At 36.3% G+C, this 17,688-nt stretch overlaps 2 long non-coding RNA genes across 3 annotated transcripts in view; one reads left to right on the plus strand and one right to left on the minus strand.

The window, feature by feature from the left end:
• The window catches only part of LOC105373831 (uncharacterized), a 279,396-nt gene that overhangs the window by 63,358 nt on the left and 198,350 nt on the right, over window positions 1–17,688 (minus strand). The gene's annotated exons all lie outside the window — the stretch shown is intronic.
• On the plus strand, window positions 5,938–16,449 carry LOC105373830 (uncharacterized). The gene is made up of 3 exons (XR_923757.3): window positions 5,938–6,019; window positions 15,062–15,185; window positions 15,564–16,449. It is a non-coding gene; the product is annotated as an uncharacterized LOC105373830 (long non-coding RNA).

A 17,688-nucleotide genomic window follows, 5' to 3' on the forward strand; every position in this document is an offset into this window, starting at 1 on the left:
CAAACATTATATTTAGTTAGAAGATATCATTTTTTTTATTTTTGGGTCCACAGAATGTTCTTTCAAATTTATCAGAGTTTCACATTTAAAAATGTCATGGTTTTTATGTTTTTGTTTAACTATAAGGAAAAGGCCAGAAAGAAGAAAATTAACATTTATTGAGCCCTTAATATGTGCCAGGCAATAGTGCTTTGATTATGAATCAAATTTGATTATGAATCCTCAAAACATCCCTACTAAGGAAGATTGAGACTGATACCTATTGATTGTCTCTTCTGGGACTCAGGCTTTGTGCATACGCTAATTTATTCAGGGAAGCAGTATGGCATATCAACCAAGAACCCGTTAGAGTTTAGGCTGTGAGGTCAGTGAAAGATGGCATTGGTTACTGTTCCCAGCTTTCCGAGACTGAGGAAATAAAACATTAGAGATCCTCAGGTTTCAGCCCCACTGATTTTAAAATTTATCGGTTGTTTCTGAATATTCACTGTAATGAGTCCAAGCAATGGCCAAAGTAGTGAAATACAATTAAAATACATTTTAATTGTTGAGTCAAAACTGGATACTTTTCCCCCTTACTTTGCCCATGTTTTGTCAAAATTGGGTTTGCTTGTCTTTGGAGCCCTGCTGTCCTTCCTCCTCTTCTTTCACATTCTCTATAGCACTTACGCATTGGTAAGCACAGAGTGGTGCCTGATGAGGATCTGAGGTTTGCTTCAGGAAGTTTTTAAATAATCTTTGGGTTTCAGAATTCACAGAACAATCCAGAGTCAATAATTCTAACTTCCAACCAGATCTCATTATTACAACAGTGACTTTGTTGTCCATAAACAGCTGCTTATTTATTCTTGCCATGAGCTCTTCCTCTGAAATTGCCAATTTGAGGCAACAAGGTTAAGGATGGGTGAAGGGAATATAGTAAACACAAATGTCTGATGCAGGCATTTCAGAGAATGTCAGTCATTAATTTAAATATTATTAATTTGGGATCCATTTTGGTACTAGCCCTGGAAAGCGGCTATCAATTTATCCCAGGATTAAATTTTAAGCATGTTGTTTTATTTTCACTGGTTTCTACTGAGTAAGACATGTGCAACTGGGAAAGAAATGAATCCCCTATGGCTTGTTCAAGTGTATTTTTCTCTTGGTGACACTCATCTCCAATATCATATTTAAAAATATTAGGAGAAAGTTCTAAGCAGAAAGTCTCCAACTATGGAAACTTCAACCTTTTGCTGAATTACAGGATGACATTCAATGTCATTTCACTGTCCTATATTTTCATGGAGCTTCTTGAAAGTGGTCTCTCTGACTCATGTAGAATCTAAAATTGATCTCACAGAAGTAGAGAGTAGAATGGTGGTTAACAGGGGCTGATAGGAGAGGAGGCTGGGAAGGTGTTGGTCAAAGGATACATATTTACAGTTAGACAGGAGGAATAAGTTCAAGAGATGTATTGTATAGAATGGTGACTTTAGTTAATGACAACATATTGTATTCTTGAAAAATGCTAGGAGAGTGGGATGTTAAGTGTTCTCACCAGAAAAAATGATAGCTATGAGAGTTCATGCATTTGTTAATTAGCTCAATTTAACCATTTCACAAATACATGTCTACTTCAAAACATCGTGTTGTACATAATAAATACATACAGTTTTATATGTCCATTAAAAAATAAATAACTTTTTAAAAAGTTCTCTCTCTCTCTCCACACTCGTACACGGGGAGTGTATTTTTCTTTTGGTGCTGTGACATTTTTTCCACTACATAGGATGCTCGTGGCTCCACATAAGGCTACTGCCAGGCAATACAGAATGAGGGCCAGGAATTGGTTGAAAGTGAGGGGCCATGGGGTGATGGATGTCAGACTAATTATTGATCAATTTACTGTGTCTATTTAGTAAGTCAGTCAGTCTCCAGATACTTTTGTAGTCTTTAAGGACGACAAATGTTCACAGTTTAAATATCCCTAAATATATAACAGATGAACAAGCATGCTTTGGTGTGTAAATGCTGCATAGATTCAGAACCATCAAAAAGCCCCTCAAAAATGCTTTTCCATCTGCTGCTTCTAACTACATATCGCACATCCTGGCAGTGCACTTCACAGTGGTGTGAAAGATAGGTTCAAAGCCAACCTGGCAAAATCTATTTATCTTTTTTTTTTCTCCCCAAAATGTGTTTCTTTGTGCAGCTAAACTAGCAAACATATATAGGAACAAGGTGCCAGGGCTAAGAGGAGGCACTTGTCAGGCCTTAATCATTCAGGAGAAAACCTGCTTTGTATTACGCTCTGAAATACTGACATCAATTTGCATCTTCTTAGAAAGTATGAGTTGGAGAAGCCTTGGATTCTGTGTTCTCAGTAAAACTTAACTTACCTTTGAGTAATGTCTCAGTGTCCAGGAGAACCTTGTAAGTTACCCAAACAACCCCATAGATGGAGTGGCCAGAAGAGCCTCCCGCAGAAAGTATGCGATAGCTTTCCTGTTTAGTTTTTAAAGAAGTAATTATGTGCAAATCAGAAAGTGGATTCATGAGAGGAATGCTCTGTTTTTATGCAATACAGCTCTCAAGTATAATCTGTCAGAAGTGGAGACTTTTATAAGTAGAGTGACAGTTCATATTAACGTAGTGGTGGAAGTTAGTGGCCTACTAATAAAGCCTTCTTATTTGAAATGGTACAAGTTAATTTGTTTAGATAGTGAATATTCTTTTTTTATGGGGTAAAAACTATCCAGAAAGGTAATATTTAAAACTACCTTTCAAATTATGATATATTGTCAGGTATGTTAATACATCATATAGATGACCTATTTCTCTTTCCTGACACATTTTACTGATGCTCTACTCTAGTAGAGTGTAGGAGTATTAATAGAGGGTATTAGAATCTAATCCTAGTCATAGTTTTCATAAGGGGATGAGGGTGCATACAGATGTTCTAATGCTTATTATTACAAGGGTGGTTTTCAAATTTAATTTTAGCCATAGTATCACGTATTTAAACAATAGTTGTTTGCAAATATTACTATATATACAAATTGTGGGGGTTGAGGGGAGCTGCCATAAGAAAAGTGAGGGATGGCAGAGTCCTAGCCACAGTGTCCCTAGTGACTACACTCCCAGCTGCAGAAGCTCCTCTCAGAATTTCAGGAAGAATGACTGGAAAAGAATTGCAAGCTAAAACACTTATAGGAGCCAGCTAAGTAAGTGAGGGAAGACCACTTGGTATTTTACATGGAATATACGGACATGATTTTCATTTTCATAAAGAAATATCCAGGCTCATAGAAAAAAATATATATACTATCTATAGACTATATAGAATACCAGGTCTCATAGAAAACACAGGCCTCCAACTGTATTTTTCATTTGATAATTTTTTTGTGGTGACATGGCAGCAGAGACAACAGTGTAAATGTGACTTTTAAAGGCAACCTACAGCCTCAGTTTAGGGGAGGCATCAGGAAATGTTGGGAATTGTGGCAAATTGAGCATAAACCCCACCTAATGGGGGCAGCTACTTTTTGTCTCCAGCCAAGTGTCGACCTGTGAGAATGTGAGCACAGCGCTAGCTGCTAGAGCCATCTGAAAGTTTAAAAGGAGTTTTCAATCTAGGCTTTTTTTTTCTATGAAATTTTCTGATTTTTAAAAATTGGTTCAATATTTTTAAATATTTTGCTAGCTGAATCAAATTATTTGTCAAATTTTGCCCAATCTCTAGGCTACTAGTTTATGAACATGCTTTGAAAGAATCTATATTTGCCAGAGCATAAGAAAGCCACCTAGACCACCCTATATTTAGTTTATTTGAGTTGAAGTTTTTACTGTAAGCTATAGATAATTTTGGGTAATAGTTTTGAACTATAAACCATGTAATGTAAGCCATATAAAAAAAAAGAAACCAAGGTTGGCAAATTTAGAAAGATGAGTTCAATACCTGGGCCTGTCACTTAGGCCTGAAGCAGCAGTTCAGACAGGTTAAGCTGCTCTCAAAGATTCCCTTTGAGAAATACAAAGCACCATTAGAGACCATTATGAACAACAACAGGCCAACAAATGGGGAAACCTAGAGGGAATGGATAAATTCCTGGACAAATACAACCTAAAAATAAATAGCCAACCTCAAGGGACCAATAATAAATAAAAAGATTAAATCAGCAATAAAAACTCTCCCAACAAAGAAAAGCTTAGCACTGGGTGGCTTTACTGCTAAATTCTATCAAAATCTTAAAGAAGAACTAACACCAATTCTCAAACTATTCCAAAAAATTGAAGAGGAGGGAATCCTTCCTAATTTGTTCTATGAGGCCAGCATTATCTTGATATTAAAATCAGAGAAGCACACAATGAAATAAAACTACATGCCAATATCCCTGATGAACATAGATGCAAAAATCCTCAACAAAATACTAACAAAGCAAATCCAACGGCACATGAAAAAGATAAATACATAATGATCAAGTGGATTTATTCCAGGAATGCAAGGATAGTTCAACACATGAAAATCAATGAATGTAGTACATCACATGAACAGAACAAATGACAAAATAGATCATCTCAAGACACAGAAAAAGCATTTGATAAAATTCAACATCCTTTCATGATAAAACTCCCAAGATATTAGATATAGAAGAAACACCTCAACACAATAAAGGCAATATATAACAGCTAACATCATAGAAAGAATTTCCTGTAAGAACTGGAAGAAGACAGAATGCCCACTTTCACCACTTTTACTCAACATAGTACTGGAAATCCTAGTCAGAACAATTAGGCAAGGGAAAGAAATAAAGGGCAATCAAGTTGGAAAGGAGAAACCCAAATTGTCTCTCTATGAAGATGACAGGATCTTGTATATTGAAAAATCTAGACTCTACCTAAAAACTCTTAGAATTTATAAACAAATTCAGTAAAGTTGCAGGATATAAAATCAACATACAAAAAATCAGTAATGAGTCTATACATTAATAAATGGGCTGGAAAAAGATCAACAAAGCAATCCCATTTACAATGACTACAAAATACTTAGAAATAAATTTAACCAAGGAGTTGTAAGATCTCTACAGTGAAAACTATAAAACAGTGATGAAATAAATTGAAGAGGACACAACAAAATGGAAAGATATTCCATGCTCATGAATTGGAAGAATTAGTTATGTTAAAGGTGACATATTACCTGAAGCAATCTACAGATTCAATGCAATCCTTATCAAAATACCAGACACTCTTGACAGAAATAGAAAAAATCCTAAAATTTCTATGGAAACACAGAAGTACCTGAATAGCCAAAGCAATACTGAGCAAAAATAATAAACTAGAGGCATCACACTACCTGACTTCAAAATATACTGTAAAGCTATAGTAACAAAAACAGCATGGTATCTGTATAAAAACAGACATATATACCAATGGAATAGAATAGAGAACCCAGAAATAAATCCACATAAAAGCATACCTCATTTCATTGAGCTTTGCTTTACTGCATTTTGCAGATATTGCATTTTTTAAAAGATGGAATATTTGTGGTAACTCTGTATTGAGCAAGTCTATTGATGCCAATTTTTCAAAAGCATGTCCTCACTTTGTGTTTCTGTGACACTTCGGTATTTCTGTCAAGATTTCAAACTTTTTCATTATTATATCTGTTGTGGTGATCTGTGATCATTGATGTTACTATTGTAATTGTTTCAGAGTGCCAAAAACTGCACTCATATAAGATGGTGAGCTTAACTGATAAATGTGTATTTTGACTACTCCACCAACCAGCCATTTCCCCATCTCTCTCACTGTTCTTGGGCCTCCCTATTCCCTGAGACACAAGAATACTGAAATGTAGCCAATTAATAACCCTGTAATTTCCTCTAAGTGTTCATGTGAAAGAAAGAATCACACAGGTATCACTTTATTTATTTATTGTTTTTTGACTCTTATTTTAGATTCAAGAGTACATGTACAACAAGAGTACATATACAAGAGTACAACACGGGTTTGGTGTCCAGATGATTTTGTCATCCAGGTGATAAGCATAGTACTCCATAGGTAGTTTTTTGATCCTCACCCATCTTCCCCTCTCCATCCTCAAGTAGCCCCCAGTGTCTATTGTTTCCTTCTTTGTGTCCCACTTATAAGTGAGACGTGGTATTTTATTAGCTCCTACTTATAAGTGAGAACATATGATATTTTCTGTTCCTGCATTAGTTCATCTAGCATAATAGCCTCCAGCTCCATCCATGTTGCTGTGAAGTATATAATCTCATCTTTATGGCTGCATAGTATTCCATGGTGTATATGTACCACGTTTTCTTTATCCAGTCTACTGTTGATTAGCATTTAGGTTGATTCCATGCCTTTGCTATTGTGAATAGTGCTACCATGAATATACACATGGATATGTCTTTATGGTAGAATGATTTATATTCCTTCGGGTATAATCCCAATAATGGGATTACTGGGTTGAATGGTAGTTCTATTTTAAGTTCCTTGAGACATCACCAAACTTCTTTCCACAGTGGCTGAACTTGTTTACATTCCCACCAGCAGCATATAAGCATTCCCTTTTTTTTCCTACAGCCTCACCAGCATCTGTTATTTTTTGACTTTTTGATAGTAGCCATTCTGACTGGCAAGAAACAGTATCTTAGTGTGATTTTGACTTGCATTTCTGTAATGATGAGTAATGTTGAGCATTTTTTATATGCTTGTTGGCTACATGTATGTCTTCTGAAAATTGTCTGTGTCCTTTGCCCACTTTCTAATGGGGTTGCTTGTTTTTTGCTTGATATTTTATTTAAGTTTCTTATAGATTCTGGATATTAGATCTTTGTTGGATGGATAGTTTGCAAATATTTATCCTATTCTGTAGAAATAAACTCTCTTGATCATTTATTTTGCTGTGTAGTAGCTCTTCAGTTTAATTAGGTCCCATTTGTCCGTTTTTGTTTTTGGTGCAATTGCTTTTGGTGTCTTCATCATGAAATCTTTGCCAAAGTCTATGTCCAGAATGGTATTTCCTAAGTTTTCTTCTAGGGTTTTATATAAAACTATAAAGTTTTAGGTTTTACATTTAAGTCTTTAATCCATCTTGAGTTAATTTTGAAAGGAAGGGGTAGAGTTTTAATCTTGTGCATGTGGCTAGCCAGTTATCTTGACACCATTTACTGAATAGGCATGATTTCCCCATTTCTTGTTTTGGTTGAATTTGCCAAAGATCAGATAGCTGTAGGTGTGTGGCTTTATTTCTGGGCTCCCTATTGTGTTCCATTGTCCTGGGTATCTGTTTCTGTATCAGCACCATGCTGTTTTGGTTATTGTAGCCTTGTGGTATAGTTTGAAGTAGGGCAATGTGATGCCTCCAGCTTTGTTCTTTTCGCTTAGAATTGCTTTGGCAATTTGGGCTCTTTTTTGGTTCCAAATGAATTTTAGGATAGTTTCTTCTAATTCTGTGCATAATGTCATTGACAGTTTGATAGGAATAGCATTGAAATCTGTAAATTGCTTTGGGTAGTGTGGCCATTTTAACAATATTGATTCTTGATATCCATATGCATGGAATGTTTTTCCATATGTTTGTGTCATCTTTAAGTTCTTTCAGCAGTGTTCTGTAATTCTCATTGTAGACATCTTTGTCTCCCTGGTTAGCATTATTCCTGGGTATTTTATTCTTTTTGTGTCTATTGTGAATGGGATTGTGTTTTTGATTTGGCTCTCAGCTTGGACATTGCTGGTGTATAGAAATGCTACTAATTTTCATACATTGATTTAGTATCATGAAACTTTGCTGAAACCAGTTGTTAGTCACATCTAGGAGGTTTTGGGCAGAGACTATGAGGTTTTCTAGGTGTAAAATTATATTTTCTGCAAACAGATAATTTGATTTCTTCCTTTCTATTTGGGTGCCTTTTATTTCTTTCTACTGACTGACTGTTCTGTTGTTTGTGTCCTTTGCCCACTTTCTAATGGGGTTGCTTGTTTTTGCTTGATATTTTATTTAAGTTTCTTATAGATTAAGAACATTGTACTATGTTGAATAGGAGTGGTGTGAGTAGACATCCTTGTCTTGTTCCTGTTCTCAAGTAAAATGCTTCCAGCTTTTGCCTGTTCAGTATGAAGTTGGCTGTGGGTTTGTCATAGATGGCTCTTATTATTTTGAGGTATGTTCCATCAATGCCTAGTTTGTTAAAGGTTTTTAACATGAAGGGATGTTGAATTTTGTTGAAAGCTTTTCTGTATCTATTGAGATGATCACATAATTTTTTTTGTCGTTGTTTGTGTGATGAATCACATTTATTGATTTATGTACATTAAACCAACCTCGCATCCCAGGGATAAAGCCTGTGCTTGATCATGGTGGATTAGCTTTTTGATGTGTTGCTGGATTTGGTTTGCTAGTAGTTTATTGAGGATTTTTGCATCTATGTTCATGAAGGATATTGGTCTGAAGTTTTCTTTTCTTTGCTTTGCTTTCTTTTCTTTTTCTTTCTTTTTTTTTTTTGTGTGTGTGTCTCTGCCAGGTTTTGGTATCAGGATGTGATGGTTAAAATTAGATGTCAACTTGATTGGATTGACGGATGCCTAGATGGATGATAAAGGATGTTTCTGGATGTGTTTGTGAGTGTGTTGCCAGAGGAGACTGACATTTGAGTCAGTGGACTGGGAGAGGAAGATTCACTCTCAATGTAGGCGGGTACTATCCAATTGCTGCCAGTGCAGTGAGAACAAAGCAGGCTGAAGAAGATGGGAGAAGGTGGGATACATTTGCTTGCTGAATCTTCTGGCTTTTTTTTCTTCTCAAGTGGGATACTTGCTTCTGCTCCTCTTGCCCTTGGATATCAGACTTTGGTCTCTGGGACTTACATAAGTGGATTCCCAGGAGCTCTGTGGCTTTGGTAGCAGACTGAAGGCTGCACTATCAGCTTCCCTGGTTTTGAGGCTTTCAGACTTGGACTGAGTCACTGGCAGCTTGAACCCTGTACCTGGAAAAGTCACAAGCACTCAATAACCTGTGATTGCAGTCTCAGGGGCTGACCCTTGCAAAGCCACAAGGGCAGAGCTGTCCAAGGCCTTGGGAGCCCATCCCCTGCACTAGTGTGCCTTGGCTGTGGGATGTGGAATCAAAAGAGATTATTTTGGAGCTTTAAGGCATAATGACTGTCCTGCTGGGTTTCAAACTTGCATGGGGCCTGTATCCCCTTTCTTTCGGCTGATCCATCCCTTTTGAAATGAGAATGTTTACCCAATGCTTGTACCCTCATTATATCTTGGAAGTAAATAACTTGTTTTGATTTTACAGGCTGATAGGTGGAAGGAGATGAGTCTCAGATGAGACTTTGGACTTGAACTTGGGACTTTTGAGTGATTGCTGGAATTTGACTTTGAGAGACTGTTGGGAAGGCATGCTTGTATTATGAAGTGTGAGAAAGATGTGAGATTTGTGAGGGGCCAGGGTTGGAATCATAGTTTGAATATTTGTCCCCGCCCAAATCTCACATTGAATTGTAATCCTCAGTATCAAAGATGGGGCCCAGTGGGAGGTGATTGGATCTTGGAGGTGGTTTCTCATGAATGGTTTAGCACCATCACCTTGGTGCTATCCTCACAATTGTGAGTGAGTGTTCAAGGAATGTGTCTGTTTAAAAGTGTGTGGGATGCCTGCTCGTGCTCCCATTATTGCCATGTGTCTGCTCCCTCTTTGCCTTCTGCCATGATTGAAAGCTTCCGGAGGCCTCCCCAGAAACAGATGCTGCTAGGCTTTCTGTACAGTTTGCAGAACCATGAGCCAATTCAACCTCTTCTTATAAACTACCTACTATCAGGATTTCTTAATAGCAGTGCAAGAATGGCCTAACACATGGGATAATGCCTGCCTCACAGAATGTTAGGGATGAATCCCTCCTCCTTAATTTTTTCAAATAGTTTCAGTAAGAATGGTACCAGCTCTTTTTATATGTCTGGTAGAATTCAGCTGTGAATCTTTCTGGTCCAGGGCTTTTCCTGGTTGGTAGGCTTTTATTGTTGATTCAATTTCAGAATATTTTATTGGTCTGTTCAAGGTTTCAATTTCTTCCCGGTTCAATCTTGGGAGATTGTATGTTTCCAGGAATTTATCCATTTCTTTTAGGTTTTCTAGTTTGTGTGCATAGAGGTGTTTGTAATCTCTCACTTTAAGTCAAAAGCTAGAAACAATTAAGCTTAGTGAGGAAGGCTTGTTGAAAGCTGAGATAGGCCAAAAACTAGGCCGTTTGTGCCAAACAGTTAAGCAAGTTGTGAATGCAAAGGAAAAGTTCTTGAAAGAAATTAAAAATGCTACTCTAGCGAACACACAAATGATAAGAAAGCCAAACAATCTTATTGCTGATATGGAGAAAGTTTTAGCAGTCTGGATAGAAGATCAAACCAGCCACAACATTCCCTTAAGCCAAAGCCTAATCCAGAGCAAGGTCCTAACTGTCTTCAATTCTGTGAAGGCTGAGAGAGATAAGGAAGATGCAGAATAAATGATTAAAGCTAGTAGAAGTTAGTGCATGATGTTTAAGGAAAAAAGCCATATTCATGACATAAAAGTGCAAGGTGAAGTAGCAAGTGCTGGCGTAAAAGCCACAGCAAGTTATCCAAATCTAGCTAAGATAACTGATGAGGGGGGTGCTACACTGATTGATAGATTTTTCAAGGTGGATGAAACAGCCTTCTATTGGAAAAAAAGATGCCTTCTAGGACTTTCATAGCTAGAGGAGAAGTCAATATCTGGCTTCAATGCTTCAAAAGATAGGTTGACTATCTTGTTAGGGGCTAATGTAGCTGGTGACTTTAAGTGGAGGTCAATGCTCATTTACCATTTCTCAAATCATAGTATCCTTAAGAATTATGCTAAATCTACTCTGTCTGTGCTCTATAAATGAAAGAAAATAGCCTGTATAACAACACATCATTTATAGCATGGTTTACTGAATATTTTAAGCACACTTTTGAAAAGCACTGCTCAGAAAAAAAGATTCCTTTTAAAATACTACTGCTCATCAACAATGTAGCTTGTCACTTAAGAGCTCTGAGGAAGACGTACAAGAAGATTAATGTTTTTGTGCCTACTAAACACAATATCCATTCTGTATCCAATGGATCCAGGAATAATTTCACCTTTCGAATCTTATTATTTAAAAAAAAAATCTTGTAAGACTACAGCTGCCATAGATAATGATTCCTCTGACAGATCTGAATGAAGTAAATTGAAAACCCCTGGAAAGGAGTCACCATTCTAGATGCCCTTAAACACATTCATGGTTCATGGGAGGAGGTCAAAATATCAACATTAATAGGAATCTGGAAGAAGTTGATTCCAATCCTAATGGATGACTTTGAGTGGTTCAAGACTTCAGTGGAGGAAGTAACTAGAAGTGTTGGGAATCATGAGAAAACCAGAATTAGAAAAATGTGTTCAATCTCATGATAAAACTTGAATGTATGAGGAGTTGCCTCTTATGAAGAGGCAAAGAAAGTGGTTTCTTAAGATGAAATCTACTCCTGGTAAAGCTGCTGTGACCATTGTTGAAATGACAATAAAGAATTTATAATATTTTATAAATTTAGTTGATAAAGCAGTGGCAGAGTTTGATAGGATTGACTCCAATGTTGAAAGATGTTCTACTGTGGGTAAAATGATATCAAACAGCATCACGTACTACAGAGAAATCTTTCATGAAAGGAAGAGTCCATCAACGTGGCAAATGTCATTGTCTCATTTTGAGAAATTGCCACAGCCACCCCAGCCTTCAGCAACCACCACCCTGCTCAGTCAGCAGCCATCAACATCAAGGCAAGACCCTCCACCAGCAAAAAGATTATAAAACTTGCTGATGGTTCAGATGACTGTTAACATTTTTTAGCAATAAAGTTTATTTATTTATTTATTTATTTATTTATTTTTATTGAGACAGAGTCTTTCTCTGAAGTGCAGTGGCATAATCCTGGCTCACTGCAACCTCCAACTCCCAGGTTCAAGCAATTCTCATGCCTCAGTCTCCTGAGTAGCTGGGATTACAGGCACCTGTCACCACGCAAAACTCATTTTTTTTGTATTTTTAGTAGAGTCAGGGTTTCATCCTATTGGCCAGGCTGGTCTTGAACTCCTGGCCTCAAGTGATCCGACCACCTGGGGCTCTGAAAGTACTGGGATTACAGGCATGAGCCACCATATTTGGCCAATAAGGTATTTTTAAATTAAGGTATATATATTATTTTTTAGACATAATGCTATTTCACACTTATTAGACTACAGTATTGTGTAAACATAACTTTTATATGCACTGGGAAACCAAAATTTTTGTGTGACTCACTTTATTGCGATATTTGCTTTATTGCAATAGTCTGGAACTGAACCCACATCTCTGAGGTTTGTTCTTATTTACAGCCAACTGATTTTTGATAAAGGCACCAAAAACATACATTGGGGAATGGGCACCCTCTTCAATAAAGTATGCTGGGAAAACTAAATATCCATATGCAGAAGAATGAAATTAGACCCTTACTCTTCACCGTATAAACTCAACAATGAATTAAAGATTTAAATGTAAGACCCAAAACTATAAAACTACTAGAAGAAAACATAGGAAAAGTACTTCAGAAGTTTGGTCTAGGCAAAGATTTTATGAGTAAGACTTCAAAAACAGGCAACAAAAACAAAAGTAGACAAATGAGACTCGATAAAACTAAAAAGCTTCTGCACAGCAAAGTAAACAATCAACAGAGTGAAGACACTACCTGTAGAATGGGAGAGAATATTTGCAAGCTATACATGCAATGAGGGACTAAGATCCGAAATATACAACCAACTCAACTCAACAGCAAAAATAATGATGTATAATCCCATTAAATATGGGCAAAATATCTCAATAGACATTTCCCCAAAAAGACAGAAATAGCCAGAAATGGCCAAGTATATGAGCAAATGCTCAGCATCACTAATCATCAGGGAAATGCAAATCAAAGCCACAATGATGTATGATCCCACCTAACTTAGAATGGCTATTATCAAAAAGAAAAAATAACAAGTGCTAGTGAGAAAGTGGAGAAAAGGAACTCATATACTGTTGCTGGCAATGTAAATTGGCATAGCCATTATGGAAAACAGTATAGAGGTTTTTCACTAAAAATAGAATGATCATGTGATCCAGCAATCTCATTACTGATTATCTAAAGGAAAAGTCAGTATATTGAAGAGATATCTGCACCCATGTTTATTGTAGCACTATTCATGTTAGCCAAGATATGAATTAAACTAAATGTTTATTAACAGATTAATGACTAAAGAAAATATGGTATATATTCACAATGGAATACTATTCAGCCATAAAAAAGATAAAATCCTGTCATTTGTGGCAACGTGATTGAGCCTAAAGAAGCAGTCCCCAACCTTTTTGGCACCAGGGAATGGTTTTGTGGAAGACAGTTTTTCCAGTGGGGTTTGTGAATGAGTGGGGGACAGTTTTGAGATGAAACTGTCCCACCTCAGATCATCGGGTATTAGATTCTCACAAGGAGTGCACAGTTTAGATCTCTTGCATGCACAGATCACAATAGGGTGCACACTCCTATGAGAATCTGAGGCCACCGCTGATCTGACAGGAGGTGGAGCTCAGGAGGTAACGCTCCTTTGCTTGCCGCTCACCTCCTGCTTGGCAGCCTGGTTCCTAAAAGGCCAGGGAGGCTACCAGTCCAAGGCCCAGGGGTGGCCCAGGGGTTGGGGACCCCTGTGCCTAGAGAACATTATGTTAAATGAAATAAGTCAGGCACAGAATGGTAAATACTGCATGTTCTCACGCATATGTCAGCGCTAAAAATGTCGAGGTCAAAGAAGTAGAGAGTAGAATTGTGGTTATTACAGGCTGGGAAGTGTAGTGAGGAGGAAAGGATACGAAGAGGTTTGTTAATGGATAGAAAAAATTATAGGGGAGAAAAGGATTAAGTTCTGGTGTACAATAGCACTAATGGGTGAATATAGTTAATAATAATTTATTGTATACTTTCAAAAGGTTGAAGGGAGGATTTTGAATGTTCCCAACACAAAGAAATGATAAATGTTTGAGATGACAGATATACTAATTACTCTAATTTGATCGTTACACATTGTATACATGTAACAAAATATCATTCTGTACCCCATAAATATGTACAATTATCGTGTGTCAACTAAAATGAAAATGAAAGAAAGATTTCCTGTGACAACAGGAAATTTAATATCTTTTTTATTTTGGAAAGAACACTGATTGGGTAAACGTGAGCCTGAATCCTAGACCTTCTATGTGAACTTGAGCAAATTATTTAAGATTTCTTTGCCTTATTCTCCTAAACTGTAATCATAATGATACTAATATCCTTATAATGACTGAATAAAGATTAAAATAGGTAACAAATGTTAATACTTGACATTTAATAAACACCCAATAAAGGGTAGATACATAATTATTACAGATATCTTTATATGCATTGCTTTCTCACAATCTAACACGTTTGCACAGTCTTGTAAGGATGATTAAATTACATGATCTATATATGTTGAAATACAATGCCTACTAAACACTCAATTAATTTTGGTTATTATTATTATAATGTGTTATGAGAGTTACATGTTACCCAGTGGCGTGCAATAAATAGTTCCATACAAAGGCTGACATTATAGCTCTGGTCAGTGGACTCACAGTTCTGATGAAGCTTTACAATGCTCAGTGTCCATATTCTTAAGGTTTGGAGAGCTAGCCATCATGCAATTTTTCTAAAATCAGAGCTGATTTGATTATTTGCTTGTTTTTGTTTTTTGTTCAGTATAGTTTTCAGGGTACCTTGCTCAGCAAGGATGAATTTGCTAAAAGATTTTAGGAGGCTCCTATTTCACAGGAATATTCCCTGTATTAAGAGCTATTTTAGAAACATTCAAAATACTCCACAAACAAACAATGGAAAACAATCCTTTTAGAAGTTTCCACCACAGAATGACCAGATCTGTTATTTTGTCACTCATTTTACAACCACTACAAGACGTACTGAAAAGGTTCTTTTCCATTCTGTCTAGACACCTTTTCCTAGACAACATCCTGAAACATAAGAATAAGCACAAAAATGAACATATTACATCAAACGTACCACTGAGAAGAATGGTAAGTTTAACAGTTTCCCACGTGGGAGGCATATTGACGGTAATTATCTCTCCTCCTACTTCACTCAGCTTTATGAACTCCTCTGTCGTGGCTGGGAGGGTCTGGTCATGCCTCACCACATACTTGAAGCATGTTTTAATTGGCTGGAGGAATAGTGCAACTTGCAGGCAGAGGGAGTTAAAGGAAATTGGTGTTTTCTTGGGTGGGTAGGCTCTATGCTGTTCATTACTAGTACTCATGGGAAATTTATTCTCACAAGGTCCAAGTGAGTTATCAGCATGTTTCAAATAATGTTATCAATTAGCAAGATGTTTTCAATAGTATGAAGCTTTTTCAAGGACATGTAACTACCCATGGGAAGTTATTTATTTCTTATGACAGGATTTTTTTTGTTGTTGTTTTTATTTCTGCATACAGATTACAATTTTAAGTTAGCAGAACACCAGCTCACATGGAAACAGTCTCCTCCGTGAATTCTTTCTTTGGCTGACAGACATGAGATGTTAGCTGTCTAAGAAGACCTTCACACCAACACCTTCTTAGAAGATATTGTAAGATAACAATCCTTGAGTGGAACCTGAATTCTTTCTAAACACTGCATGTAGGAAAACAAGAGGCAGTTCACACAATCACTTAACACCTCTTCTTAAAAGTGAATCCTTGAAGGAGTGGTGTTCAAATATTTAAGTACATTAGATACTTTATACACGCCACATCCAAAATGCTCAGTATTCCTAATACATTTCATTTTCTCCCAAGTTTTAATGGTTGATGCACAATCACATTAATTTCCTATTAATTTCTAGGAATATGTACACAGTAGCCTTAGGAGAAAGAAGATAACTATTACTTTACATTTTTAACTGTTTTGTTTTCATGTCCATGAGAGAAAAATTAAAGTAAGTTAAAAAATTAACTCAGACACTCTATTTATTTTTAGGAAGACATACACCCCCCACAGGGAGACTTTTACATGTTGTAATAATGTTCACAAACAGCTACTCTTTAAGTGTAACACTATTCTAAGCCTCTTTTCCTCCATTTTATTTCATATACATTTATGCATCTGCATGCATATATAACCACATGTATTTATATTTAGTAGGTATAGTTTATTACACATAAATCTAAATATCTATCATATACAGTAAATTAGAACCTAGCATGATACTAGCCATATATTAGAGATTCAATGAAAATGGTGGCTGTTTATATACAACGTATTCATTAAAAAAACCCAAAACTGATTATATGTGTCTTTATTTGATTAAAATAATGATTAAAAAAATGTAACCAGGCTGGGTGGCACAGGTGTCATTCATAACATTCACTGACATAATATGGTAAGGTTTTCCATGCATGCTATTTTCTGCTACCTCCTCACTGCCTTTAGGAGTTGAAATACAATATTAAATTGCTTACTGCAGATACCACAACACCTCATAATTATGGCTCTATGGAAATAATTTTCTCTAAATAAACCTGGAAACATATTTTTAGGGTTGCATTTTCTTTTTAGACTGGCAAATGCTCCAGCTTATCTCATTGCTCTATTTTACCCAGTGGAATTTTGCCAGCGGTGGATCTGATTGCACTCACTGCCTGAATCAGGTTCTTATGAAGCATTTCGTCTTCGCTGAAAATGCAAAATTCATAAATTAAGTTGAAAGTTACTGATGGACAGCCTTAGTGAATTACGTTTCCCATCAGCTAGCTGTCTTGAATCCGATTCCAGCATAGGAAGAATCACATCTACCGATTCTACACCTGGAATCTGAAAGAGCGGATTCCTCAGCTTTTCCCAAAGAAAGAAATACAACACCACACTTGAAAAGAAAGATGGCATTTCCTTAGGAAATTATATTTGTAGTACTCTATATCTGATCATCTTAAAATCAGATGGAAAACATTTTACTTTCTGTTTTTTTCCCTAGGCAGGTAAAATCTCTAGGTCATTTTTTTGAGTCATCAATGTCTCTCATACAGAAAACTCAATTGTTGATTTGCTTGCCAAACAAACAAAGTATAAAATAATTAACAGTGGTCTTGCAATTAAATAGTAATTTAGCCTCAGCTTTAATGTTTCAATTAAAACTTAATAAGCATGCACGAGATGTATTTGCAGTGTATGCTGAGTAGTGATAAAAAACACTTGTTTTGCCCACTTTTGCAAACTGGTAGATAGAACATATTTGTTTACTTGTAACATGATAATTCCTCGAGGTGTGAACACTGGGGTATGGAAGAGGTGAAGAGACAAACATTATAACAGGTATTCTGCAGAAGTGTCAAGAGATGCAGAATGTTGCAACACAAACAAAAGATGGTGAATTGAAAATGATCTGTCCAGGGGTTGAACTAAAATTCTAAGAATGGCAAATAATAACATTATGTTGCTTGATGCATGCATCTTTAGAAAAATTCAAGATGGCTTCAAGATGGTATGTTAAATTGTAATTTTTAAACAGATATTAATTCATTATTAATGACTAGTATATATTAGGAAAAAACAGGAAACAATGTATTTGTCCTATTATATAAA

The sequence above is a fragment of the Homo sapiens genome, chromosome 2 (assembly GCF_000001405.40).
Source record: "Homo sapiens chromosome 2, GRCh38.p14 Primary Assembly".
Classification (NCBI taxonomy): Eukaryota; Metazoa; Chordata; class Mammalia; order Primates; family Hominidae; genus Homo; species Homo sapiens.